Source organism: Homo sapiens, chromosome 13 (assembly GCF_000001405.40).
Source record: "Homo sapiens chromosome 13, GRCh38.p14 Primary Assembly".
NCBI lineage: Eukaryota > Metazoa > Chordata > Mammalia > Primates > Hominidae > Homo > Homo sapiens.
The window spans coordinates 99,704,930-99,732,106 of record NC_000013.11 but is presented as its reverse complement, the minus strand read 5'-3'; the positions used below and the strand labels follow the sequence as shown (position 1 = coordinate 99,732,106).

General features: G+C 44.5%; 1 protein-coding gene and 1 long non-coding RNA gene across 13 annotated transcripts in view, besides 5 other annotated features; one reads left to right on the top strand and one right to left on the bottom strand.

Annotated features, from left to right (window-relative positions):
* The window catches only part of CLYBL (citramalyl-CoA lyase), a 302,755-nt gene that overhangs the window by 177,338 nt on the left and 98,240 nt on the right, over window positions 1-27,177 (bottom strand). The gene's annotated exons all lie outside the window — the stretch shown is intronic.
* Window positions 847-1,763: an enhancer, noted in NCBI's record as "H3K27ac-H3K4me1 hESC enhancer chr13:100382598-100383514 (GRCh37/hg19 assembly coordinates)". NCBI's record gives its function as "activates a minimal SCP1, AML or CMV promoter by ChIP-STARR-seq in primed H9 embryonic stem cells {active_cell/tissue: H9 hESC(primed)}" and the evidence as "EXISTENCE:reporter gene assay evidence [ECO:0000049][PMID:30033119]".
* Window positions 1,764-2,681: an enhancer, noted in NCBI's record as "H3K27ac-H3K4me1 hESC enhancer chr13:100381680-100382597 (GRCh37/hg19 assembly coordinates)". NCBI's record gives its function as "activates a minimal SCP1, AML or CMV promoter by ChIP-STARR-seq in naive H9 embryonic stem cells {active_cell/tissue: H9 hESC(naive)}" and the evidence as "EXISTENCE:reporter gene assay evidence [ECO:0000049][PMID:30033119]".
* Window positions 3,106-6,439, top strand: CLYBL-AS1 (CLYBL antisense RNA 1). Of its 3 annotated transcripts, none has more exons than NR_120383.1 (3): window positions 3,106-3,186; window positions 4,615-4,877; window positions 6,072-6,439. It is a non-coding gene; the product is annotated as a CLYBL antisense RNA 1 (long non-coding RNA). The 3 variants fall into 3 exon arrangements; NR_120384.1 differs by lacking the exon at window positions 6,072-6,439 and adding an exon at window positions 5,502-5,864 and having other exon boundaries at window positions 4,618-4,877; NR_046525.1 differs by lacking the exon at window positions 6,072-6,439 and adding an exon at window positions 5,502-5,864.
* Window positions 14,682-15,471: an enhancer, noted in NCBI's record as "H3K27ac hESC enhancer chr13:100368890-100369679 (GRCh37/hg19 assembly coordinates)". NCBI's record gives its function as "activates a minimal SCP1, AML or CMV promoter by ChIP-STARR-seq in primed H9 embryonic stem cells {active_cell/tissue: H9 hESC(primed)}" and the evidence as "EXISTENCE:reporter gene assay evidence [ECO:0000049][PMID:30033119]".
* Window positions 22,484-23,480: an enhancer, noted in NCBI's record as "H3K27ac-H3K4me1 hESC enhancer chr13:100360881-100361877 (GRCh37/hg19 assembly coordinates)". NCBI's record gives its function as "activates a minimal SCP1, AML or CMV promoter by ChIP-STARR-seq in primed H9 embryonic stem cells {active_cell/tissue: H9 hESC(primed)}" and the evidence as "EXISTENCE:reporter gene assay evidence [ECO:0000049][PMID:30033119]".
* Window positions 23,491-23,990: an enhancer, noted in NCBI's record as "H3K27ac hESC enhancer chr13:100360371-100360870 (GRCh37/hg19 assembly coordinates)". NCBI's record gives its function as "activates a minimal SCP1, AML or CMV promoter by ChIP-STARR-seq in primed H9 embryonic stem cells {active_cell/tissue: H9 hESC(primed)}" and the evidence as "EXISTENCE:reporter gene assay evidence [ECO:0000049][PMID:30033119]".

Below are 27,177 nucleotides of genomic sequence, written 5' to 3'. Positions count from 1 at the left end.
CATAATGCATCCAGAAAAAAGAAACAGTAAGAAAGAAGGGAAAAAGAAAAAACAAACATAGCCCCAAGGAAAACAAAGCCCCAGCAGAATGTGCTGCAGCCATCCCAAGCCCCTGGTACCGTTCGTGCAGGGATGCCTGTATGCCCTGTGCTCCAAAGTATGTCACCACATCAGCCTCCAGGGGAGAAGCAATTAAAGGACAGTTCTCACTGCAGAACTGAAGCCCAGTTCCTGAGATACGAAAGCTAAGTGAAACCATTCTGGTGTGGAGTATGTTATTCAGTTTACTTCTTGGCTAGAAACAAAGAGGTTAAAATTGAGAACACAGGATTCTTCACATCAGGAGATGTCCGAGGCCCTTCCTTCCTCCCTCCCCATCCAGGGGTCCACTGTCCATGTGGCCCCAGCACGTCCGTGAGAGCCATCCTGCTAACACCTATCTACCCTCCGCCTCTGTCTACTCTGACTTTGAAACTAATGTATGGCCTTCTTTATCATCTAGCACAGCTTAAACAGTGGCCAATGTCTCTGTTCTGCTGGTGAAACCATCAGTAAGTTTTATTTCAATGCTTTGAGGCATTCTTTGGCCTTTTTTTTTTTTTTAATATAAGCAGCTGCAGTCTTTTATTTATTTTTGTAGAGACAGAGTCTTGCTATGTTACTTAGGCTGATCTCAAACTCCTGGCCTCAAGTAATCCTCCCACCATGGCCTCCCAAAGTGCTGGGATTACAGGTATGAGCCCCTGGGCTCAGCCGCTTTTTTTTTTTTTTCTTAAAGCAGGCTAAGATAGACATATATTCTGCAACTAGACTTTGTGCTTTAGTAAAGAAACAAAAGTAATTTCAACTTTTAAAGAAGGCTTTGCTACTTCAATTTTGACCATACAACTTTTCTGTCCATGTTTATTTTTCTTTATACAGTGCAATCTGCCGAAATCTGGTCTATATTAACAAAGTACAACAAAACCAGGACCCCTCCTCTCCTCTCCAAGCCCCCGCCTTTTTTTTTTTTTTTTTTTTTTTTGAAACAGAGTCTCACTCTGTCACCCAGGCTGGAGCGCAGTGGCACGATCTCGGCTCACAGCAACCTCAGCCCCCGGGGCTCAAGTGATTCTCCTGCCTCAGCCTCCTGAGTTGCTGGGACTACAGGCATCTGCCACCACGCCCAGCTAATTTTTGTATTTTTAGTAGAGAAGGGGTTTCACCATGTTGTCCAGGCTGGTCTCAAACTCCTGACCTCAGGTGATCCACCTGCCTCGGCCTCCCAAAGTGCTAGGATTACAGGCGTGAGCCACCGTGCCTGGCCCAAGCCCCTACTCTTTAGGGGAAAGAATGGGGAGGCCGTTCCGTGTGTTTAGCAGGATGGTCGGCACTGCCTCTGGGGCTCCCTCCCTGGTCCTGTGTCCATGCTCCTCCCGCCAAGACTCCAGGCGTGGTCCCCTCTGGCCTTCAGCTCCTGTCTATCATCTTGGGCGGCTCTGCTGCTCCCTGAGCCTCTGGAGTCCTCTGCTCAGAGGCTCCACTGTCCCCAGGCTCACCCCATCTCCATACCCGGAGGGAGCCACCTTGCCCTTCCTCTTCGCCTGGCATGGCCTGTCTTGAGGAAAGCTGGAAGGGAAAGTGCTGCCAGGAGCTGTTCTGTATTCTCACTAAGAGGCCAGTCAGCCAGGACGCCCAAAGCTTTCTGCTCTCCCCGTGACTCGCTCCAGCCACCTGGGCAGTGCTGGGCTGCCCCCATGAGCGTGCTGCACCTCCCCTGGGCCTGACAGGTCCTCAGTGCACTTGCAGGCTGTGGTGGTGATTGGTTCTGCCACACGTGTTAGTCAAAGTTTAAAAGGAAGATCCAGATACCAAAGGAGTACATGGATGCAGAAAAGTGAGGCCTCAGCTGCCTAACCAAGAGGCTGGTTTCCTGAGTGTCCTGGGTGCACCTTGAGATCTATGGCCACTGTGACAAGGCCTTGGAAAGATCAGCAGCTCCAACAGTGGCCAGCCATCCTCCAGCCAGCAACTGGGTCGCAGCACTGGCCACGCTGACGTGGGGCCAACGGTGGTGGAGGCACCGGCCACGCTGATGTGGGACCAACGGTGGTAGGGGGGCACCGGCAATGCTGATGAGGGACTGACGGTGGTGGGGGCATGGGCAATGCTGATGAGGGACCGACGGTGGCAGGTGCACCAGCAATGCTGACACAGTACCAATGGTGGTGGAGGCACCAGCCACACTGAAGCGGTGCCGAGGCTGGCGGGGGGAAGGGCCCCACTGCCACAGGGCCGACGGTGGCAGGGGGTAGTGGCACCAGGGAGTCAGGAGAACACATAAGGAATACTCAAGTGCAGGCTGAAAGTGGTCCAGGATTCCATCTTCCTCTTTCTCCTTTATTCCTAAACTTTATCAGTAGAAGACCATCATTTGCTAATTGACAGAGAAAGGAAAAGAATTTTTCAGTGACTGCCAGTGCCTTGTCAACAGGCCGATGGCTGGCTGCGCTTTCCGCAGTCCCCTCTGGAGGGTGGAGAGCAGTGATGATGAGTCTCCGGCCTCACTTTCCCGCCTCCCATTTACACACACTTCTAAAGCCCACCAAACCCCTAAGATATTTAGCCCGAAGCAGATCCAAAGGCACACATCTTACTGACCAGATGAAACCATGCCTCAGAGATACATTTATCTCTGGCTGCCACCACCTCCAACCACCATTCCCTATGTCTTTTCCTTCAGCATAGCTGATACTCAAGCAGATGACTGACAAAGGAGCCCAATCTAAAGGGCTGCTGAAGGAAGGTTTGGAGGGCCTTTTGGCTAAGATCACATGTATGTTATCCCCATATAAATGGCCAAGTACATCTGTTGGTCACCGACAATGTGTCAGGCATAACACAGCACAAAGATACTCTCTCCCCTCTTTAGGCCTCACACTTTTAAAAGACAAGAGAAACAGTCCAGATCATTCTTTTCAGTACTATTTGTTTCCAGCTGAAGATGAGAGAGATCTTTTAACACAGCCCTTCATCCTGATCTCTGGGAAGGAGACAATTGGATGGCCCTGGCCATTCTGCTTTCTCTGGTTCCCATAGCAAGGCCCTGCAGAACTTCTAGAACACAATTATGAGGAAAGAAGCTCTCAGCATTCCAAAGCAGAAGGAACAACTGTCTTGAATATGTCGAAAATTGCTGTCTTTAAGGTATTAAGGAAGGACCCAGTTTATATTTACTGGGGTGGGGCTGGGCATGGTGGCTCATGCCTCTAATCCCAGAACTTTGGGAGGCTGAGGTGGGAGGCTTCTTTGAGCCCAGGAGTTTGAGACCAGCCTGGGCAACATAATGAGACTCCATCTCTACAAAAACAAAACAAAACAAAACAAAAAAGCACACAGTAGCCAGGCATGGTGGTGCACAACTGTGGTCCCAGCTACGTGCGAGGACTGCTTGAGCCCTGGAGGTTGAGGCTGCAGTGAGGCGTGATTGCACCACTGCACTTCAGCCTGGGTAACACAGTGAGACCCTGTCTCTATTAAAAAGAAAAAAAAAAAAAGAAGTTGGCTCATACCTGTAATCCCAGCACTCTGGGAGGCCGAGGGAGGCGGATCATGAGGTCAGGAGATCGAGAACATCCTGGCTAACACAGTGAAACCCCATCTCTACTAAAAATACAAAAAATTAGCCGGATGTGGTGGCACACACCCGTAGTCTCTGCTACTCGGGAGGCTGAGGCAGGATAATCGCTTGAACCCAGGAGACGGAGGTTGCAGTGAGCCGAAATCGTGCCACTGCACTCCAGCCTGGGCAAAAGAGTGAGACTCCATCTCAAAAAAAAAAAAAAAAGAAAAGAAAAGAAACATATGTATATTAAGTATTAATAAGTACCCAGTTTATATTTATTGGGGGAGGGGGCCAGTATGGTGGCTCACACCTGTAATCCCCCCCACCAAAACACAGAGCTTTGGGGAATACCCTCACAAAACTCATGAAAAGAAATATAATGGGATCTGTAATATTAATACTAATATTGTCTATATTTTTATTTTTTGAGACAGTTTTGCTCTGTTGCCCAGGCTGACATGCAGTGGCATGATCTCTGCTCACTGCAACCTCTGCCTCCCAGGTTCAAGCAATTCTCCTGCCTCAGTCTCTTGAGCAGCTGGGATTACAGAAGCCCACCGCCATGCCTGGCTAATTTTTGTATTTTTAGTAGAGACAGGATTTCACCATGTTGGCCAGGCTGGTCTGAAACTCCTGGCCTCAAGTGATCCGCCCACCTCGGCCTCTCAAAGTACTGGGACTACATGCATGAGCCACCGCACCCGGCAATACTGTCTTTAAGTAGAGACCAAAAGGTATCTATCATTCCCTGTCCTGAGATAGACAGGACAATGTTCTTCAGCTGGTGTTTACTGCATAGTGTTTACTCCCATACTGGCCACGGGAGAAATAACTAATTATATCTAGACAAACCCAGGTGTCTTGCTTGCCTGTCTCTCAAAGAAAATGGCTCATTTGCTAGATGGACTATTTTTGTTACTTCTTGGATACTAGATCTGACCTGAAGGAGGTTTGTTGGAGGCAGAGTGAAATGTGTTTGTGTTTATTCCTTTTTTTCTACTTGGTTGCAGCAGATGAAGCACCCAGAGGACCACAATCCTCGGATTTTATGAGAAGACCTTCTGCCCTGCCTGCCCTTTTGAGACCTTTATCTGAAAAGGAACCTGCAATCCTAGAAAAGAGGTGGAGGCAGGCTTGATTCAGTTAAGGAAGTTCTTTCTTCTCAGCAATTACCACGCCAATTCTGTGGAAAAGCAACATTTGGAAGACGAGAGAAATCCACTGTAGGAAGTATTAGAAATACCTGCAATTAGGCTTCAAACAAGCAAATGAGGCAGGTCTATTCCCCAGGCCTAACAAGTCTTTGAGGTATTGTGCACAGAAACAAAGTTTTTTTTTTTTTTTGAGATGAAGTCTTACTCTGTCACCCAGGCTGGAGTGCAGTGGCATTATCTCGGCTCACTGCAACCTCCGCCTCCCAGGTTCAAGTGATTCACCTGCCTCAGCCTCCCGAGTAGTTGGGATTTCAGGCGTGTGACACCATGCCTGTCTAATTTTTGAACTTTGAGTAGAGATGGGGTTTCACCAAGTTGTCCAGGCTGGTCTCGAACTCCTGACCTCAGGTGATCTGCCCGCCTCAGCCTCCCAAAGTGATGGGATTACAGGCGTGAGTCACTGTGCCCAGTCAAAACCAGGTTCTGATGTACATCCTTGCACGCCTTTTTTGTGGCACAGAGCAAGTGGTAACCAGGTAACTTCCCTGGCCCTCTGCATACATGAAGGAAATGAGAATGTAGGTGCCTGAGGCCCTACAGACACTACTGCCTTAGGGATAAGGGGCGGGGGAGGGGCGCTCATGGGGGGACGCACTGAGGGCCAGGCCTGTGCCAGCCGCTTTACATTATTCAGAGTTTAAGTCTCACACCGACCCCTGAGCTGCTGGCTCTTCCCTTTTCAGGGCAGGAAAAGTAAATGACGACAGCCTGTGTCCTCTCCATGACACCACTCTGCCTCCATGGAACCACTCTGCCCCCATGGATCTCTCCAGTTTTAAGTCTGGGGAAATCTATCAATCACACAATTTCAGTTAGCATTCCAAGAACTAGGGGAAGGCCCGAGTAATCTATTCAAAGACATGCTTCAGAAAGAACACACCGACCCCATGGAGAGTTAAACCTGATTACCAAGAAGCAGGATAGTTAGGTGTTTCCGCTATTTACATAATCATTGTAAATATAAGTTACAGACTAATTACAATGATAATTATGACAATGAGCCTGGCATGGAGGAAGAGTTTAATAAATAATATTTGATGAATGAATGAGTTCATCTTTGAGTTCTTAATCTCAAAACAGTACCAGAAAGAACAAATGAGAAGTCTAACACCTTATTAATTTGAAAATAATAATTTAAGAAAATTCTTATGATTGGCTATTAAACTTTTGGCAGAATAGCAGTAATTATCATAAAACATACTCTGAAATTAATTCTGAAATCTTGCCTTAATGTGTTTACATAAACATATTAGATGTATACATTCATGAAAATCAACCCATCTACACTCAACTGAAAAACAGATGCTTCAACTGGAGAAAAAGGGATTTTATCTCTCCATACCCAAAGCTATCTTAAATTAGGACTTTTAACCTGTTGCCTTCGTGCGCATGTGCAGTAGCTGGATTAACAGGAGAGAAAGCAACAGCCCAAGAACCGACCCTCCTGCATCAAATGAGTAAACCAAAAAGGAAAGGGGATTTACGCAAACACCACAATGCCTCCCCGGGAGCCGTTCCAGTCCATCAGAACCAAATCCACCCTTTCAGCGGCGTGGAAATGTACGGATACCGAACAGACCTTGCATTTACAATAAATAAACATTACGTACATTTTCCAAAATGAGCTTATAAAATACAACAGGTATGGGACTCAGTTTAACTAAGCATTTTAGATATATCCTAACATCAAAACAGTTAACATTTCCCACTGAGTTTCTACAGCATAGTACTAGAATGTCCCTTCATCTCTCTGCTGCCCTCTCCACAAACAAGAAAGCTGGTCAATAAAAGAAAACAAATGACAATAGAATCCAGTTTTCTACCTGATCCTGACCATCCTGGGGCCAATCTTCAACTTTCCCACAACAGCCCCAGTGAAAGCTCACATTGTTAGCCCTCACTTTTCCTTTTCTTTTGTTCCCCTTGAGAGCAGTTCCTGAAACTTACCCAAGCTGTGAGCTTCTGAGTAAGAAGCAGGTCCAGAACCTTAAAAAAACCGCACGGTATTACCACAGCAAGTCACCATCTTACTGTTCGGTCTTCTCTTCTTTTACATCAAGATTTGTTTTCTGCCAGCAACCTGAGAGCGGGCTCTTTCCTAAACCGATATCCCAGATCACGGTCATGTGTAGAGGCCAGCCCTGCTTGTCAAGGCTTAGAGAGCTGTCTGCAGTGCGTGCCTCTTCCCCATAGCCAAGTAGGCCCGAGAAATGCTAATACTCAGCAGGACGCATCAAGAACTTTCAGCCTCAGCAATGGCTAAGAAGAAAGTATCACAAATTGACTGAAATTATCTATAGCACAAAAGAAAAGAGAAGGAATTAATCAAAGTCTCTCTCTTAATGCAATGCTTGATTGAACTACCCCAATCCCTTTTTAAATAGGATACTGGTGGCAAGTGACCCCAACGACACGCCCTAGAGAGGTACACAAGGAACACTTGTTCCATTTTTTTCTTTTATGACCTCATTAAGGAGGATTTTGAAGATTGTTCCTGAATATAAGAACAAAGTGTCCTAAGACATCTCTAACTTTTTATGTCTTTAGCCTTTTGCTGCTGCAATGGCCTTTGCGTCTGTGTGTGTAACTCGGTGCGTTCTGCTCGTGCTCAACTCCCCACCAAAACAAGAACTGAGTGAGAAGTCTGCACGAAAACAATCACAGCTGTACCCTCTAAATGCAGAGAGGAGCTGGTTTCTTACACCAGAAAGTTTTGCCAAGACCAACTTGGGATCCATTCTTTTTTTTTTTTTCATCTTCTCCAAGTCGGAGCTGCCATTAATTGCTCTGGGGGCTGTTTCCAGGCTCTTATCAAGGGAGGGTGCCGGCTGCCAACCCTGCCTGGTGTGAAAATACTCCACCGCCAGGAACATTTTCCTCAAAGTGTTTGTTGATTCCACGCTTCGGTTTAATATGCAAGATTATATTTTACAATCAGAAACAAACAGATTCATAACGGAAGGCTTGAAAGGCAAATAGGGGAAAATCAAGCCAAAGACTGAGCCTAAATGTAGTATTTTTATTGACTTCTTAGAAACCAAATAACCTGGCATATTAGTGTGTGCATTCTGCAACAGACATTCAGCCCCATTGTACTACTTAGAAGAGAATAAAAAGAAACCCTACTGTTTGAAACCCAGCGGAACATCCCCACAACAGGGCACAACTGTTCCCTCATGCATGAATGGGAAAGAGATGAAAGAAAAGATGGACTTCTGAGGTACAGCAAAAAACAAAGACAACAAAAGTGCTGACCATGAGGGAATGACACAACTCATTGCAGCAAAAAGGATAAGAGAAAGGAGCTCAGACAATGGTGAGGACAGCCAAGTGACACGGAGGAGAATTGAAAAATCTACACAAGTGTCTTTTCTCTCCGCCCTTGATGAAAAACAATTAAATGTTGGTACATCTGTCACAAAAAAGATCACTGAAACCTGTAACCATCATGATGAATGGTAACTTACCTACCCAAACTGGAACTCTCCAGTTAAACCTTGTCACCTCTGTTTCTTACTTATCCTTACTAAAATGAAAAGTTTTCATTTCTGTGACAATTTACCACATCTGAATATGCTGTAACAAATTCTTATAGAGAGACTAAGGGGCACTGAAGATGCCCGTGTGCCCATGGATGGGAACATGGATACGAAGGTTTAAAACACTCCACGGAAAAGATGGGCCTCAAGAAATTTCCAGAGAGAAACTACGGATTTTCCTCTTGACTCACATTACGATTACAGCCCTATTTAATCTAAATTTCAGATTGGTTTTCATCCAGCAGCAGCTCCAACATTTTGGCTTTAAGAGTCGTTGCTCTCAAACCCTACTGCCAAGAAGATACTGTTTGTAAACATTTAATATAAAAGAAGAAAGCTCATAATTTAATGCTACTTTTAGGTAAATGCAGTCATTGGTATGTGATGGCAATAATTACCTTTTGATGTTTCTGTTTTTCTTAAACAGAGCACACCTGTCCACACTTCACTAACGTTGAGCCCTGTTAATGAAGTGTTCAGTGAGAAAATCCCATCTACCAAATATATGAAAAACCCACCATATGAAATCCCCACTAGATGTTTATTGCTCCGGAAGTCCACCAGCCTGGGAAAGTCACACGGTGTTTTAAAGCCAGCTCCTGGGCCTTATTCCTGGCTTGATAACGTGCAGCCCTGCACAAGAGCCAAAAAGCAGTTATTGACCCTGTCAGAATGCCTGATTAATGGATAAACGCTGTAATTGATTAGCAGAGAAGTGTGAATTAAAACAGGGCATGGCATCAATAACCAGCCTCTGACAACAGCAGTTGACGTACAATGTAAAACAAGAGCCTGCGGCTATATCTCATCAAAGGCACACTTTTCTTAAAACAGGGGAGAAAGGGGGAAGTAAACAGTCCTAGTGTCCTGTCCTCTTGGTAATGATGCTGTGTGAAGCCACCAGCAAGCGGCATGGGAACTCAGTCGTCAGTCCACCTTCATATATCAAGCAGTGCAAAGCAGTTAAACAGTCCTATTGTTCTGGGACTTAAAACAAAAGCATAGAAGAAGCCCTATTCTCTTTTCATTTTTTCACTGGGAACTCTCTACGTATAACCTCAAAGAAAAGTGAATTCTGCCTGATTCAGTGCTCCTGGAGAGGTAGGAGGCATGGCTCACTGGAATACTGCTTCTATCTGCTACTGGAAGTGAAAAATGCATTCATTCATTCACTCATTCATTCATCCAGCATCTGGTATGAACCAGTGACTGTTCTGGGTTGGAGAGTACAAAGATGAATAAGGTTTGTGGCAGGCTGAGTTGATGCGGACCCACTCCTGCTGAAATTACACACAGCTATTGGAAAATCTAAAGCAACTTAAAAAAAAAAAAGGTTTCATGCGTAGCTCAGCTTGATAGAAAGAGGAAAGAGAGATTCCCAAGTGCCAGAAACAAAGCAAATCTCCAGGGCTGGGAGGAAACCTCCAAGCTGATGTATCCACCGAGGGCTGTCAGCCCTTGAAACAATAAGTAGGGGTCAGAGTGTCAACACCCCTGGGGAAAGAAGACACCAGCCAGGACTGTGCAAGATGAGGGGGAAACTGGACCAAACCAGACCCCTTAAGAAGCTAGCCAGTCCATGAAAAGGGAACTGGAAGAACCATGCTCACCAAAGAAACAGGAAGGAGGCCTGAGGTCTGGCTTGAGCTCTGAAAAGTAACTAAAAGCTTTTGTATGAATCATCTGAATCAGGAGCCTGTGCTAAGAGCAAATGCAGGGATTAAGTTGATACCACCCAGATGGGTTGGAAATCACAAATAGAGAAATTAAAAATTAAAACTTGTTCAAGACCCTAAAATAACTGAGCCTTGGTTTGCAGAAGAAAAAGGTAAAGCAGTGCTCCAGAAACATCTCCACAATCCAGGGCCCCTGGACTCCCAGAGGCAAAAATAACCCCTGCTGAAGATGAGCTCACAATAAAAAATTCCAACCAGGCCAGGAACTAACCTACCACGCCAAGGGTCAGCAAGTACAACATGCGGGCCAATGGGTACCTGGGAACTGGAAACAAGTGACAACCTAAAAAAGAATCTGATATATGTGTTTAGAGCTATTAAAGTGACACAAGAACAGTAACCATTGAAAGAATAGGACACGATTGAAAATAAAAATTAGAGGGGGAGGGGGGAGGGACAGCATTAGGAGATATAACTAATGTAAATGACGAGTTAATGGGTGCAGCACACCAACATGGCATATGCATACATATGTTACAAACCTGCACGTTGTGCACATGTACCCTAGAACTTAAAGTGTAATAAAAATATATATATATATTTAAAAAAAGAAAATAAAAAAAGAAAAATTAATTTGAAAGAGAACCAAACAGCAGATTTAGAAGGAAAAAAACAGAGTCACTGAAATAGTAAGTAAATTAGATTACATATGGCCAATAAAAGAATTAGGGGCCGGGAGTCATGGCTCACACCTGTAATCCCAGCACTTTGGGAGGCTGAGGCGGGTGGATCACTTGCGGTCAAAGTTCGAGATCAGCCTAGCCAACATGGTGAAACCCCGTCTCTACTAAAAATACAGAAAATTAGCCAGGCGTGGTGGTGGGTGCCTGTAATCCCAGCTACTCAGGAGGCTTAAGCAGGAGAATCGCTTGAACCTGGGAGGTGGAGGTTGCAGTGGGCAGATATCACATCACTGCACTCCAGCCTGGGCGGCAAGAGTGAAACTCCATTTCAAAAAGAAAAAAAAAAAAAAAGAATTAGGGAACTACAGAATGGATGCGGGGAAATCATACAGGACATGGCACAGAGAAGTAGGAGATGGAAGATGTTAAGAAACGAGGGAACATGAGACCTTACAACAAATGCTAATGAGAGAATAGAAAGAATGAGGACTTATGACTGAGATGTTTTCAGAATGGAAAGAAGCATTTACATTCTCAGATTGAACAGCACAGTCAGGAGCCAGATAAACAATCACAAATCAACACCTAACACATAATAGTGAAACTATAGAACACATAGAGAGAAAAGACAGATTACCCATGAAAAAAGAACAATTTTTCTTCACAGCAGAATGTTACTAAGCAGCAAAATCAACCAAAAATTAATGGAATAGTATTTTCAAAGTATTGAGAGAATATAGCTTTTAGCCTTGAACGCAACTAAGCAATCATCCAAGAGGAAGGGCAAAATAAACACGTTCTCCATACAAAGGCTGAAGAAAGTTACTATTGTTAGACCTTTACTGAGAGAAGTGACCAATGGTATATTTCAGGATAAAAAGACTCAATCCAAAAGAAAAGAGTGGGATCCAAAGGAGCGATGGTGAGCAGAGAGTAAACATGTAAGTAAATCTAAATGAGCCAGCAATATCAATTATAATGTTGTCTCATTTAAAACAAAGTACTGAAAAAAAAATGAACCAAAAAGTTAAGTACTAGACTCTGATAACATGCTACACAGGGAATACGAAAGACTGGGAGTGAATATCAGAGCCAAAATATTCCGAGGCATTTTGATCAGAAGGAGAGCAGAGAAATATCCATTAACTTTAGACTCAAATAAAATATGCATATTAAATTTTAAATGTAATCACCAAAAGAAAAAATAGAATGTATAATTTCTAAATCAATAGGAAGAAATAAGCAAAGTAGAATAAATAAGAAAACTATAATAAAATAAATAAAACTTAAAAAAAATAAAGAGAACTAAGTACAATGAAAAGCAGGAAAAGGGGAAATACAGTAAGTAAACAGCATAGTATATAAAATTAGTAACATATGGTAGTAAAACCAAATTTGATTACATTAGCAATCACAACAAATGTGAACAGATTAAATATCCCTGCTAAAAGACCAAGATTACATTTAAAGAAAAAAAAAGTTTCAATTTAATACTGTTTATAAAAGATACACCTAAAACAGAAGGACACAGAATGGTTGAAAGTAAAAAATAAAAAGGTGATTAAAATAAAAAGATACTGTCAAGCCAGGTGCAGTGGCTCATGCCTGTAATCCCAGCACTTTGTGGGGCTGAGGTGGGTGGCTTGTCTGAGGTCAGGAGTTTGAGACCAGCCTGGCCAACGTAGTGAAACCCCATCTCTACTAAAAATACAAAAAATTAGCTGGGTGTGGTGGCGGGCACCTGTAATCCAAGCTACTAGGGAGGCTGAGGCAGGAGAATCGCTTGAACCCAGGAGGTGGAGGTTGCAGTGAGCTGAGATAGCACCACTGCACTCCAGCCTGGGCAACAAGAGCAAAACTCCGTCTCCAAAAAATATATATATATATTGTCAGGTGATGCCTGTTTTGTTTCTTGATGTGACTGGCATAGAACAGGTTCTTGGCTGGACATGGTGGCTCACGCCTAATCCCAGCACTTTGGGAGGCCAAGGCAGTAGAATCACTTGAGGTCAGGAGTTTGAGACCAGCCTGAGTAACACAGCAAGACTCCATCTCATAATTAATAAATAAATAAATAATTCAGCCAGGCTTGGTGGTGCCTGCCTGTAGTCTCAGCTACTCAGAAGGCTGAGGCAGGGAGATCATGTGAGCCCAGGAGGTGAAGGTTGCCGTGATCTCACCACTGTACTCCAGCCTGGGTAACAGAGAGAGACCCTGTCTTAAAAAAAAAAAAAAAATAGGCCTTGTGTGGTGGTTCATGCCTGTAATCCCAGCACTTTGGGAGGCCAAACAGGCAGCTTACCTGAGGTTGGGAGTTCAAGACCAGCCTGACCAACATGGAGAAACCCCATGTAGGAGAAATCTCTACTAAAAATACAAAATAAGCCAGGCGTGGTGGTGCATGCCTGTAATCCCAGCTACTGGGGAGGCTGAGGCAAGAGAATCGCTTGAACCTAGGAGGCGGAGGTTGCAGTGAGCTGAGATCATGCCACTGCACTCCAGCCTGGGCAACAAGAGCGAAACTCTGCTCAGAAAAAAAAAAAATTCTCAACAGGTATTGCTGAGTGAGTGACTGAATTAATTAATATCAAACAAGATAGAAACTAGGGCAAAAACATTCTCAGGATAAAGAAGATCATTATCTAATGATAAAAAGAACATTTTATCAGAAAAATATTTCTCAAATTGCAGACATCTGAAATAAACAATAAAATTATTAGAATTACAGAAGTAATTGATAAACTCACAACCAGAAGCAGAAATGGATAGATCTAATGGACATAAATTTAGTAAGACTTGAACAGCACCTGAAGAAGCACTGCCTCATAGACACGAGTCCAGGAAATACCAGCCCAAATATGCTGAATTGGTTTGCTGGTTACTTCAAGCTGAAGGCATTTGGGAAATAGCAAATGCAGAGGGGCTTTTCCTGAATCTCCCTTATCCAGTGAAATGCAGATTCTCCAGAAGGAAGCCAATTGTCATGAAAACCCTCTCTAGGTTTTTTTTTTTTTTTCTTTTTTTTAATCTATCAGGGGAGGTTAACAGGCAACAGGAGTCAAACCTAGAAGAGGCTGGAACTTGGCACCTGGTCCGGACAGGCTACTGCCTATTTTTGCAAAAGCCCATGCCCCTTTTCATAATCATTTACTCCCTAAGTGACCCCTACTTATCTCCCCATTCCCCTAGGAAGGGTGTAGAAAAGCTTCTGAGGCTGGGAGAGGTAGCTAATGCCTATAGTTTCAGTACTTTGGGAGGCCCAGGCAGGAGGATCACTTGAGCCCAGGAGTTATAGACCAGCCTGGGCAACTTAGGGAGACCCTGTCTCTACAAAACAAAAACAAAAACAAAAGCAAACAAACAAAAAACAGTAAGAGAATGCTAAAAACAACTTTATGGCAATAAACTTAAAAACAGAGAATGTGAACTATATTCCAGATAAATATAAGTAATCAAAAGTACTGTAATTCAATAAATGAAAGCTAGGAAATCTGAAGTGATCCTATGTTATTAAATATGCTGCATTAGTAGTCAAGACAGATACACACACACACACATACACACCCAAGTTGTACAGATAATTTCTAACAAGTTTTAACAAAAGCCTTTAAGAAACAGATTACTCAAGGCAGTGAATTCACAGTGGCTCACCCATGGAATCCCAGCATTTTGGGAGGCTGAGGTGGGAGGATCACTTGAGCCCAGGAGTCTGAGACCAGCCTGGGCAATATGGCAAAACCCCATCACTACAAAAAATACAAAAATTAGCCAGGCATGGTGGCGTGTACCTGTAGTCCCAGTTACACAGGAGGCTGAGGCAGGAGGATCCGGGGAGCCTGGGAGGCAGAGGATGCAGTGAACTGAGATCGTGCCACTGCACTCCAGCCTAGGCAACAGACCGAGACCCTGCCTCAAAAAAATAAAAAATAATTCTTTTTTTTTTTTTTTTTTTTTCTAATTTTTTTGAGATAGAGTCTCACTCTGTCGCCCAGGCTGGAGTGCAACGGCATGATCTCAGCTCACTGCAACTTCTGCCTCCTGGGTTCTAGCAATTCTCCTGCCTCAGCCTCCCGAGTAGCTGGAATTGCATGTGTGCACCACCACACCCAGCTAATTTTTGAATTTTTAGTAGAGACGGGGTTTCACCATGTTGTCCAGGCTGGTTTTGAACTCCTAACCTCAGGTGATCCACCTGCTTCAGCCTCCCAAAGTGCTGGGATTACAGGCGTAAGCCACCATGCCAGCCCAAGAAACAGATAATTCATATCTTATACAAGCGGTTCAAGAAATTAAAGAGGGGGGCTGGGCGTGGTGGCTCACGCCTGTAATCCCAGCTCTTTGCGAGGCCAAGGTGGGCGGATTACCTGAGGTCAGGAGTTTGAGACCAGCCTGACCAACATGGAGAAACCCCGTCTCTACTAAAAATACAAAATTAGCTGGACGTGGTGGCACATGCCTGTAATCCCAGCTACTTGGGAGGCTGAGGCAGGAGAATCGCTTGAACCTGGGAGGCAGAGGTTGCGGTGAGCCAAGATCGTGCCATTGCACTCCAGCCTGGGCAACAAGAGCTAAACTCCGTCTCAAAAAAAAAAAAAAAAAAAAAGAAAAGAAAAGAAATTAAAGTAAGAGGGAAAGTTTCCCACATAATTTTTTCCCAATTCATTTCTGAAAAAAGCATAAAAACTGAAGGAGGCAAAAACAAGTATAGGCTGGGCGTGGTGGCTCACGCCTGTAATCCCAGCACTTTGGGAGGCCGAGGTGGGTGGATCACCTGAGGTCAGGAGTTTGAGACCAGCCTGACCAACATGGTGAAACCCTGTCTCTATTAAAAATATAAAAATTACCCAGGCATGGTGGCAGATGCCTGTTATCCCAGCTACTTGGGAGGCTTAGGCAGGAGAATCATTTGGACCCGGGAGGCGGAGGTTGCAGTGAGCCGAGATTGCGCCATTGCACTCCAGTCTGGGCGACAGACTCTATTAAAAAAAAAAAAAAGAAAAGAAAAGAAAGAAAAATATAGGCCAGTCTCAATTTTACATTTCTATAAAATTCAGAATTTCAGCAAACTGAAAAATGACGTCTGCCGGGCATGGTGGCGCACACCAGTATTTCAGCTATTCGGGAGGCTGAGGCAGGAGAATCACTTGAGCCCAGCCTGAGCAACATAGCGAGACCTTGTCTCTAAAAAAAAAAAAAAAAAAAAAAAAAAAAAAAAAAAAAATTACACCAATAAAGCAAGGACAATTTAACATTACAAAACACTTTATTATTGTTCACTTCATTAACAGATGAGAAAAGAAAAGCCTTTTGAACATCTCAAGAGATGGAGAAAAAGCATTTGATAAAATTCAATACTCATTCATAATTTAAAAATGTTTAAAAAGTTTGCTAAATAACATGGCAGATTATTATTAGTATTTGTCTCCGCTTTCTTTCTAAAACCCACAATGAAGAGGGGAGGAGTATAAATCCACAGAAACAGATATAACAGAAGAATCAATCCCTTATAAGAGATGTTAACAAACCACTGGCAAATGGAGAGTGAATCAACAAGTGAAAACACTGACTACTAACTTCCTGCAGCCCCGGGACCTGAGAAACATGACAAGCCAAAAGCATCAAGCTTATTTCTACCACAGGACTCTGGAACAGCTTAGGAACTAGAGGTTCCTGGTATCTCTGAAGGCAGGGTAGTGGGTTGGAACAAAAGGATTGTTTGAAAATCCGTACAGGCCGGGTGTAGTGATTCATACCTGTAATCCCAGCACTTTGGGAGGCCAAGGCGGGTGGATTCCTTGAGCTCTATAAAAAATACAAAAAATTACCCAGGCATGGTGGCATGCACCTGTAGTCCCAGCTACTTGGGAGGCTAAGGCAGGAGGATCACCTGAGCCCTAGAGGTCCAGGCTGCAGTGAGTTGAGATCACACCACTGCACTCCAGTCCGAGTGAGACTGTCTCAAAAAAAAAAAAAAGAAAAGAAAAAGAAAAAAAGAAAATCTCTATAAAGAGCACTTAGACCTTAACCTGTCCCATTCCAAAAGGGCAAAGGAAGTAAATCCCTGGAGAAATGGAACCCCAAAAAGCTTTCACTTTGTGGAGGCAAAACACAGTGAAGGGGAGGAGTTAGTCAAAAGCTGAAACGGGCTGAGTGAAAGTCCAGGTATGGAATAATGAGAATTCCCCAGTTGCCTCCTAGCCTTGGCTTCTAGAATGCTGGAAGCCAGGTCTAATCCCCCGAAGCTGGAGAGCACAGGATACCTCTCTGAAAAACAGAAGAGCCCAGGAGAACAAGCCTACAGACACTGATATGTGGTGATCCTCTGGTGAAGCTGGTGGGCCCCCAGCTGATAACCTTACAGTGAGGCCCATCAGTTCCATACACAAATAACTCTCTATTGATGGTTACGTTCCTCCTTTTTATTTATTTATTTATTTATTTAGAGACAGAGTCTCGCTCTGTTGCCCAGGCTAGAGTATAGTGGTATGATCTCGGCTCACTGCAACCTCTGCCTCCTGGGCTCAAGTGATTCTTGTGCCTCAGCCTCCCAAGTAGCTGAGATTACAGGCACCCGCCACCATGCCTGGCTAATTTTTTGTGTTTTTAGTAGAGACGCGGTTTCACCATTTTGGCCAGGCTGGTCTCGAACTCCTGACCTCAAGTGATCCGCCCACCTCGGCCTCCCAAAGTGCTGGGATTAGAGGCAGGAGCCACTGCTCCTGGTCCTTAAGTTCCTCATTTTTATTTTTATTATTTATTTATTTATTTATTTTTGAGACGGAGTCTCACTCTGTCACCCAGGAGGAAGTGCAGTGGCGCAGTCTCCACTCACTGCAACCTCTACCTCCCCGGTTCAAGCAGTTCTCCTGCCTCAGCCTCCTGAGTAGCTGGGATTACAGGCGTGTGCCACCACACCAAGCTAATTTTTGTATTTTTAGTAGAGATGGGGTTTCACCATGTTGGCCAGGCTGGTCTCAAACAGCTGACCTCAGGTGATCCGCCCACCTCGGCCTCCCAAAGTGCTGGGATTACAGGCGTGAGCCACCACACCAGGCCAGTTCCTCATTTTTAAATATGGACTGACAGTCAAACACCACCAGACCTTCGACAAAAGTTATCAACTTGAAAGATAAAAACCGAAACAAACAACCAGGAAGAGCACTCAAGAGAAACGGACAATGCAAAGAGCAGAACAGAGCAAAAAACAGAACAAACAGAGAAATAAGATATTATAATACATGCAAAAACAGGAATAAAATATCATTTATAAAAGAAACATGGTAGGCTGAGGTAGAGGATTGCTTGAGCCCAGGAGGTCAAGGCTGCAATGAGCCGAGATTGTACCACTGCACTCCAGCCTGGGTGACAGAGCAAGACCCTGTCTCAAAAACAAACAAACAAACACGGCCAGGTGCCATGTACTCACACCTGTAATCCTAGCATTTTAGGAAGCTGAAAGCAAATTGCTTGAGCCCAGGAGTTTGAGACCAACCTGGGCACATAGCGAAACCCTGTCTCTACAAAAAAATATATTTAAAAATTAGCCAGGTATACTGTCTTGTGCCTGTAGTCCCAGCTACTTGGGAGGCTGAGGCAGGAGGATCATTTGAGCCCAGGAGGTTGAGGCTGCAATGAGCCATGATTGCACCACTGCACTCCAGCCTGGGCAACAGAGCAAGACCCTTTCTCAATCAATCAATCAATCAGAAACATTAGAGAACATGAAAAAGCTATCAAAAATAAAAATTTGAGGCCAGACATGGTGGCTCATGCCTGTAATCCCAGCACTTTGGAAGGCCAAGGAGGGCGGATCACCTGAGGCCAGGAGTTCAAGATCAGCCCAGCTAACATGGTGAAACCCCGTCTCTACTAGAAATACAAAAATTAGCCAGGCATGGTGGCAGATGCCTGTAATCCCAGCTACTCAGGAGGCTGAGGCAGGAGAATCACCTGGACCTGGGAGGCGGAGGTTGCAGTGAGCCAAGATCACACCACTGCACTCCAGCCTGGGCGACAGACCAAGACTCTGTCTTAAAAAAAAAAAAAAAAAAAAAAAGAAATAGAGAAATACAAAGAAAGCTCCTAGAACTAAAACACATAAATTTTCAGACTGAAAGGCCTATGGAACACCTACATAATTAACAAAAATGATCCCATCAAAGTACATCAATGCAAAGTTTGAGAGGACTAGGGAGAAAGAGATCTTCAAGAGAGATCTTCAAGAAAGAGATTTTCAAGAGAGAAAAAAATTTACAGAAAAAGGATCAAGAATCAAAATGGCACCATTTTAAAGCAATGGCAGCATTAGAAGCAAAAAAGGGAGCAATGCCTTTAACATTCTTAGGGAAAATGTTTTCCATGAAGTCTGAAGAACACCAAAGACCTCTTCAGACATATAGCCTCAAAAACATTTAACTTTCACGAACCCTCTTTTCACATAACTACTAGAAGACACACAGCCCTGAATGAGGAAATAAGCCAAGAAAGAAGACATGGTTTCCAGATACTGGAAATACAGAGTACAAACAGAGCAAACGCCAGGATTATGGTGTTTTATAAACAATGGAAGTTTTAGAAACACAGAAATGCAGCTGGCCTAGAAAGCGACAAGTTCAGGATAGAAGACTCCAGAAGGAATTCCTTTAAAAACAAAATCAAAAGTAGTAAGGGTATATTGCTTAATATTGACGACTTTGTCAAAGAGTTGGAAGAAAAAATTAGTTTTAGCAAAAGAGTCAATCACTGGCCAGGTGTGGTAGCTCACACTTGTAATCCCAGCACTTTTGGAGGCCAAGGCAGGGAGATTCTTGAGCTCCAGACTTGGAGACCAACCTGGGCAATGTGGCAAAACTCTGTCTCTACCAAAAAAAAAACTCAAAAAAACAAAAATTAGCTGGGTATGGTGGCACGCACCTGTATTCCCAGCTACTTGGGAGGCTGAGGCGGGAGGATCGCTTGAGCCCAGGAGGCAGAGGTCACAGTGAACCGAGATCACGCCACTGCATTCTAGCCTGCGCTATAGAGCGAGACCCTGTCTCAAAAAAAAAAAAAAAAAAAAAGTCAATTGCTAACTCCAAGGGGACAAAAAGTTATATGAGAAAGGAAAATTGTAGTGTACCGTATGGCTCAGCTGTGAACACTGCTTTCCTTGGCACAGTATAAACACTGAAGTGTGTATCAGGGGTATAATACGACAAAAGAGAACTGTCTTCAACTTCCATAGCAGAAAGTTAATGGTACTATAGACAGAATGTTTCTGTCCCCTGCAAAGTATGTTGAAGTCTTCATTCCCAGTGTGATCAAATGTGGAGGTGAGGCCTTTGGTTGGTGATTAGTCACGAGGACTGAGCTCTCATAAATGAAATCAGCACCTTTATAAAAGACAGACTCCCTCACGCCTGTAATCCCAGCACTTTGGGAGGCCAAGGCGGGTGGATCACGAGGTCAGGAGTTCTAGACCAGCCTGGCCAAGATGGTGAAATCCTGTCTCTACTAAAAATACAAAAAATTAGCCGGGCGTGATGGTGGGCGCCTGTAATCCCAGCTACTCTGGAGGCTGAGGCAGGAGAATCGCTTGAACCCAGGAGGTGAAGGTTGCCGTGAGCCAAGATGGCACCACTGGACTCCAGCCTGGTGACACAGCAAGACTCTGTCTCAAAAATATTAAAAAATAAAAAATAAAAAAAGCTGCGTGCGGTGGCTCACGCCTGTAATCCCAGCACTTTGGGAGGCTGAGGTGGGCAGATCACCTGAGGTCGGGAGTTCAAGACCAGCCTGACCAACATGGAGAAACGCCATCTCTACTAAAAATACAAAATTAGCCGGGCGTGGTGGTGCATGCCTGTAATCCCAGCTACTTGGGAGGCTGAGGCAGGAGAATCGCTTGAACCCGGGAAGTGGAGGTTGCGTGCCGAGATTGCGCCATTGCACTCTAGCCTGGGCAACGAGAGCGAAACTCCGTCTCAAAAAAAAAAAAAAAAAAAAAAAGACGGACTCCCTCACCCCTTCTGTCATATGAGGACGCAGTGAGAAGGTGTGCGTCTGTGGACCGGGAGGCGCAGGTGCTTCCTTAGCACCAGACACTGAACCTGCCACTGCCTGATCTTGGACCTCCAAGTCTCCAGAAGTGTGGGAAATAAATTTCTGTTGCTTATAAGACACCCAGTTTATGGTATTTTGTTATAGCAGCCTAAATGGACTAAGACAAATAGATAACTGTGAGCAGTGGCTCACACCTGTAATCCTGGCACTTTGGGAGGCCAAGGCAGTCAGATCACTTGAGGCCAGGAGCTCAAGACTAGCCTGGCAAAACCCCTCTCTACTAAAAGTACAAAAATCAGCTGGGTGTGGTGGCAGACGCCTGTAATCCCAGCTACTCAGGAGGCTGAGGCATGATAATCACTTGAACCTAGGAGACGGAGGTTGCAGTGAGCCGAGATCACGCCACTGCACTCCATCCTGGGCAACAACAGCAAAACTCTGTCTCAAAAAAAAAAAAAAAAAAAAAAAGGGGTTAGAAACTAAGAGAAGCCAGGAGACTTGTCGATAGCTTGAAGGAGATGTGCTTACAAAGCAAAGGTTATTTTCCACTTCATCTTTGGCAGAGATGTATGTGAAACATCACTGTAAGCTATGGGTAAGAATTCCACAAAGGGACAGAGTCAAAAACCAAGACAGGGGCTAAATGGTGTACCAAGATTCCCCGAGGACAGGGAAGAAACTAGGGGGCTGATACCGGAGAAGAAGGACACCTCTCATTTGGGAAAGGAAGATAAAGAAAAGGACTGGGGAAGTGCAGGGGTTTGGGAAAAAGCAATATCCCTGGAAATATAGCCCCTTTTACTTTTCTTCCCTACCTGCATAAAAACTCACAAGTTCCCTCTTGTCCTACATTGTCTTCATAAGTCTCAATGACAAGGACCACTGAAAAAAATGCTGTGCAGTATAAATAATAAGAGCTTTATTATTCCCCCAGCTCCACTGGGGCAGAGAAACACAGCAGACGGTCCCTGAGAAGAACAAATGCCATGTGCGGCCCCGTGACTGCCTCGTCCAGAATGCATCCTTGCGACATTGCTCTGGGCCTCTGGAGAGGATGGAGAAACACTGTCCAATTTCAAGTGTCTTTAAAAACAAACAAATAAAAACACAAGTCACCATTTAAAAATAGGTAAGGGTGGGCCGGGCACGGTGGCTCACGCTTGTAATCCCAGCACTTTGGGAGGCCGAGGCGGGCAGATCACGAGGTCAGCAGATCGAGACCACGGTGAAACCCCATCTCTACTGAAAATACAAAAAATTAGCCGGGCTTGGTGGCGGGCGCCTGTAGCCCCAGCTACTCGGAGAGGCTGAGGCAGGAGAATGGCGTGAACCTGGGAGGCGGAGCTTGCAGTGAGCCCAGATAGCGCCACTGCACTCCAGACTGGGCGACAGAGCGAGACTCCGTCTCAAAAAAAAAAAAAAAAAAGAAAGAAAGAAAAAAAAAAAAGGTAGGGGCGAAACCAGCTACTGAAATGCAGTGGCGAAGCTCTCTCCCCAACAGGCTCTTTCCTACTGCTTCACTCCACAAAGCTGCTTCTCTGCATCCCCTATTTATTGAAAGAATTCACACATAAGAGTCTACAAAATAAACGCTCCTCATCGAAAGTTTGGGAGGGAGGTGAGCAATCTCTAGGAGTTAATTTTGAAGGGGTTACACTCTTTCAAAGAAAGAAAAATCAAGCTTAGAAAGTGAGAAGAATGTGCTAAGAGAAAACAAATTCTATCTTTTCAACTGCAGCTTTTTAGGAAGAGACACAGGAATGAAACAGCCAGGGAACTTCTGGAGCACCTCTTCTTGCTAGGAACTTTTTTGTATGCTATTTTGTAAAAAAAGAAAGAAAAGGACAGGAATACAAGCTGAGAAGGAGAAAATGTATCTCCCATTGGCCAGGACATGGACAAAGGCAGGTTCTCGGGTCAATGAGAAACACAGTAGCGGAGGACGGTGCTGCCAGCTGTGTCTTCGGCCAGGGCTGCTGTGACAGAGAACCACAGACTGAGTGGCTTCACTGACAGACATTTATTGTCTCACAGCTGTGGAGGCTGGAAGTCTGAAACTGAGGTGTCAGCAGGGCTGGCTCCTTCTGAGGACTGGTAAGAAAGGATTTGTTCCAGGACCCTCTCCTTGGCTTGTGGATGGCCATTGTCCCTCTATGCATGTCTATCTCTGTGCCCAAATTTTCTCTTTTTTTAAGGACAGCAATCATATTGGATTAGTGCCCAACCTAATCACTCCTTTTTTTTCTTTCTTTTTTTTTAGACAGAGTCTCGCTCTGCCGCCCAGGCTGGAGTGCAGTGGCGTTATCTCGGTTCACTGGAACCTCCGCCCCCCTGGTTCAAGCAGTTCTCCTGCCTCAGCCTCCCGAGTAGCTGGGACTACAGGTGCCTGCCACCACGCCCGGCTAATTTTTGTATTTTTAGTAGAGACAGGGTTTCACCATATTGGCCAGGCTGATCTCGAACTCCTGCCCTCATCATCCGCCCACCTCAGGCTCCCAAAGTTGTTGGGATTACAGGTGTGAGCCACCATGCCCAGCCTAATCACTCTTCTTAAATAATTACATCTACAATGGCCATGTTTCCAAATACAATCACATTCTGAGTACCTGTGGTTAGGACTTCAACATATGAGTTTGTGGGGAGGCAACACAATTCAATCCATAACAACAGCTAGTATTTACTGGGCTCTTACTGTGTGCCAAGTACTATGAATGAATGTCTCATCTAACCCTCTTAACCTATTATCTCCATTTTATAAATGAAGAAATGAGGCACAGAGAAGCTAAGTAATTTGCCCAAGGTCAACCAGCTGGTAGAATTTCAGAGCTGGAATTTCAGAACCTGGCCCTCATGGGTCCAAGGGGCTAACCACTATCCGTCCATTCCACTATATCATCTCAGTGTTCCACTCATTCAGGTATCTTTTTAACAAAATCAATAAATATGCATAAATGGCCAAGTGAGTGAGTGAATAAATGAAGTATATGAATGGGAAATAAACAAATTAGGTGGATGACTGAGAATTTCTACACAGTAAGGTGGGACCACTGTACAAAACACCCAGCATCAGGCCGGGTGTGAGGGCTCACGCCTGTAATCCTAGCACTTTGGGAGGCCAAGGCGGGTGGATCACCTGAGGTCAGGAGTTCAAGACCAGCCTGGCCAACATGGTGAAACCCAGTCTTTACCAAAAATACAAAAAAATTAGCCGGGTGTGGTAGTGGGCACCTGTAATCCCTGCTACTTGGGAGGCTGAGGCAGGAGAATGAACCCAGGGGGTGGAAGTTGCAGTGAGCTGAGATTGCGCCACTTCAATCCAGCCTGGGTGACAGAGCAAGACTCTGTCTCAAAAAGCAAAACAAAACAAAACTAAATACCCAGCACTCTTGTAGAGTCCCTAAGTCCAGGGTGAATGCTAAATGGAACCTGGCTGAAAGCATATCAGTTGTGGGTCCAACAGAATCTGTTTGGTGGTAGAAGACACAGGCATTCATGATTTGTGCTTGCCTCAACCCTAATGAAACAATTCTGAAATGACTTTCAAATGTAAGGGAAATGAGATTTGCATAGCTAGCCTGGGAAAAGCATAATATGGGCAAGTGTACAAATCACCAGGCTTTATCAATACCCTCACACCAAGTCAACTGTCACTGCAGCAACAACATGACTAACTGTCATTACAGAGAGAACTGTTTCTAGTAACTAGTGTTTCAAACTTTTTAATGTGTTTTATTATAAAACATATCATTGTAAATGTTCATTCGAAATCATTAATCCAGGCTGGGTGCAATGGCTCAAGCCTGTAATCCCAGCACTTTGGGAGGCCGAGGGGGGCAGATCACGAGGTCAGGAGTTCGAGATCAGCCTGGCCAACACGGTGAAATCCCGTCTCTACTAAAGACACACAAAAAAATTAGCCGGGCGTGGTGGCGCATGACTGTAAACACAGCTACCTGGGAGGCTGAGGCAGGAGAATTGCTTGAACCCGGGAGGCGGAGGTTGCAGTGAGCCGAGATCGCACCACTACACTCCAGTCTGGGCAACAGAGTAAGACTCTGTCTCAAAAATAAAATAAAATAAAATAAAATGAAATTGCATAATACTAGCACTTAAAGTACTCAAATTCAACTACTGGTGTTTGGAAGAAAAAAGTCTAAAGAAGATAAATAATTTGAACAGTATGACCTGCTCAGCCTTCACGTTACTCATTGAGGGTAAGAAGAAAGATGAAATCACTCTGTGAAAGTCATTCCAGATAGTCAAGGTTCTGTAAGCTTCTATCTTGTCTTGGGGGCTTAGTGTGATGCCTAATATGTTTAAAATCAAATTTCAAGCCTGGACAACACAGCAGGATCCGTCTCTACAAAAAAATACAAAAATTCGCTGGGCTTGGTGGCACGGCACCTGTAGTCCTGGCTACTCAGGAGGCTGAGGCTTGAGGATGGCTTCAGCCCAGGAGGTCAAGGCTGCAGTGAGCTGCAACCACTACATTCCAGTCTGGATGACAACACAAGAACCTGTCTCTAAAAAATAAATAAAAATAAAATAAAATATCAAAATGCTCCTTTTCCTCCAGTCTGACTCTAAATGCAGCCATCTTCTCCTTCTGGAGCTCGGCTGAAGAAGCAGAGATGCACTCCAGTGCTGGAGGGAAAATAGGTAATCAAGTTAGGGACATGTAGATCTACTGTAACATCATGAGCAATTTGGACTTGACTATATGTGATTTTCCCTTTACTATTGAATTTAGACTGAATGCCCAAGAAAGGTGCACTTACTACATATCACCTTCCGTAATACTCTATTGATAAGTTTTGGTCTCAGAAAAACAGGGCACCGATAATCCAAAATTACGAGGAATCCAAAAGCCATTTCCACCATAGCACAGCCACCGTGCCTACCTGACTGTGACCTTGAAATAACTGGAACCCCAGGAGACTCTCAGGATGCAAACCAGGCAAGAGTGTCCTGGAGGGTGGAAGAATGAATTTACAAAGAAGCTTGGTGCAGTTTTTGTAGTTTTGCTCTTTTGGCTATACAGTGTTTGGCTCAGGGGCATTTTATATCCTTCCCAGTGGCTTTGTCTTTATTATGTTGCTTTTAAAAATTGGGGCAAAATACGTCAGGCACGGTAGCTCACGCCTGTAATGCCAGCACTTTGGGAGGCCAAAGTGGGTGGATCACGAGGTTAGGAGTTCAAAACCAGCCTGGCCAAGATGGTGAAACCCTGTCTCTACTAAAAATACAAAAATTGGCGGGGCATGACGGCACGAGCCTGTAATCCCAGCTACTTGGAAGGCTGAGGCAGGAGAATTGCTTGAGCCCAGGAGGCGGAGGTTGCAGTGAGCCGAGATCATGCCATTGCACTCCAGCCTGGGCAGCAAGAGGAAAACTCTGTCTTTAAAACAAAAAAAAACAAAAAAAAAAATTGGGGCAAAATATACATAACATACAATTTAGCATTTGAACCATTTTTAGGTATAGTTTTGTCCTTTCACAATATTGTGCATCCATTACCACTATGTATCTCTAGAACTTTTCCATCACCCCCTACTGAAACTGTAAGCCCACTAACACCAATTCCCCATTCCCTCCTTCCCCCCAGCCCCGGGTAACCACCATTCGCATTTCTGTGCTGTGAATTTGACTACTCTAGGTACCTCATATAAGTACAATCACATATTTGTCCTTTTGCATATGGCTTATTTCACTCAGCATATCTTCAAGGTTCATCTGTGTTATAGCAGGTATCAGAATTTCATGCTTTTTTTTTTTGAGATGGAATTTTGCTCTCCAGGATGGAGTACAAAGGCACAATCTTGGCTCACTGCAACCTCCACCTTCCAGGTCCAAGCGATTCTCCTGCCTCAGCCTCCCAAGTAGCTGGGATGACAGGCATGTGCCACCACACCTGGCTAATTTCATACTTTTAGTAGAGACAGGGTTTCACCATGTTGGTCAGGATGGTCTTAAACTCCTGACCTCAGGTGATCCGCCCACCGTAGCCTCCCAAAGTGCTGGGATTACAGATGTGAGCCACCGTGACTGGTAGAATTTCATTCTTTCTTAAGGTTGAATAATATTCTTGCGTGTGTGTGTGTGTGTGCATGTGTACACCACATTGTAGTTACCCATTCACCTGTCGATGGACACCTGGGTTGCTTCCATCTTTTGGCTATCAAGAATAATGCTGCTATAAACATGGGTGTACCCATGTACCCAGGAACACAGTATCTGAGTCCCTGCTTTGAACACTTTTCGGTATATGCTTGGAAGTAAAATTGCTGGATCATAGTTATTCTATGTTTAATGCTTTCATTGTGGTTTGCTTAAACATAATGTTGCAAACATAATGTTGTAAATAGATGCATAACTGCGGTGAGCTGGACACAGTGGAGGTAGCTGAGATTTCAAATTGCC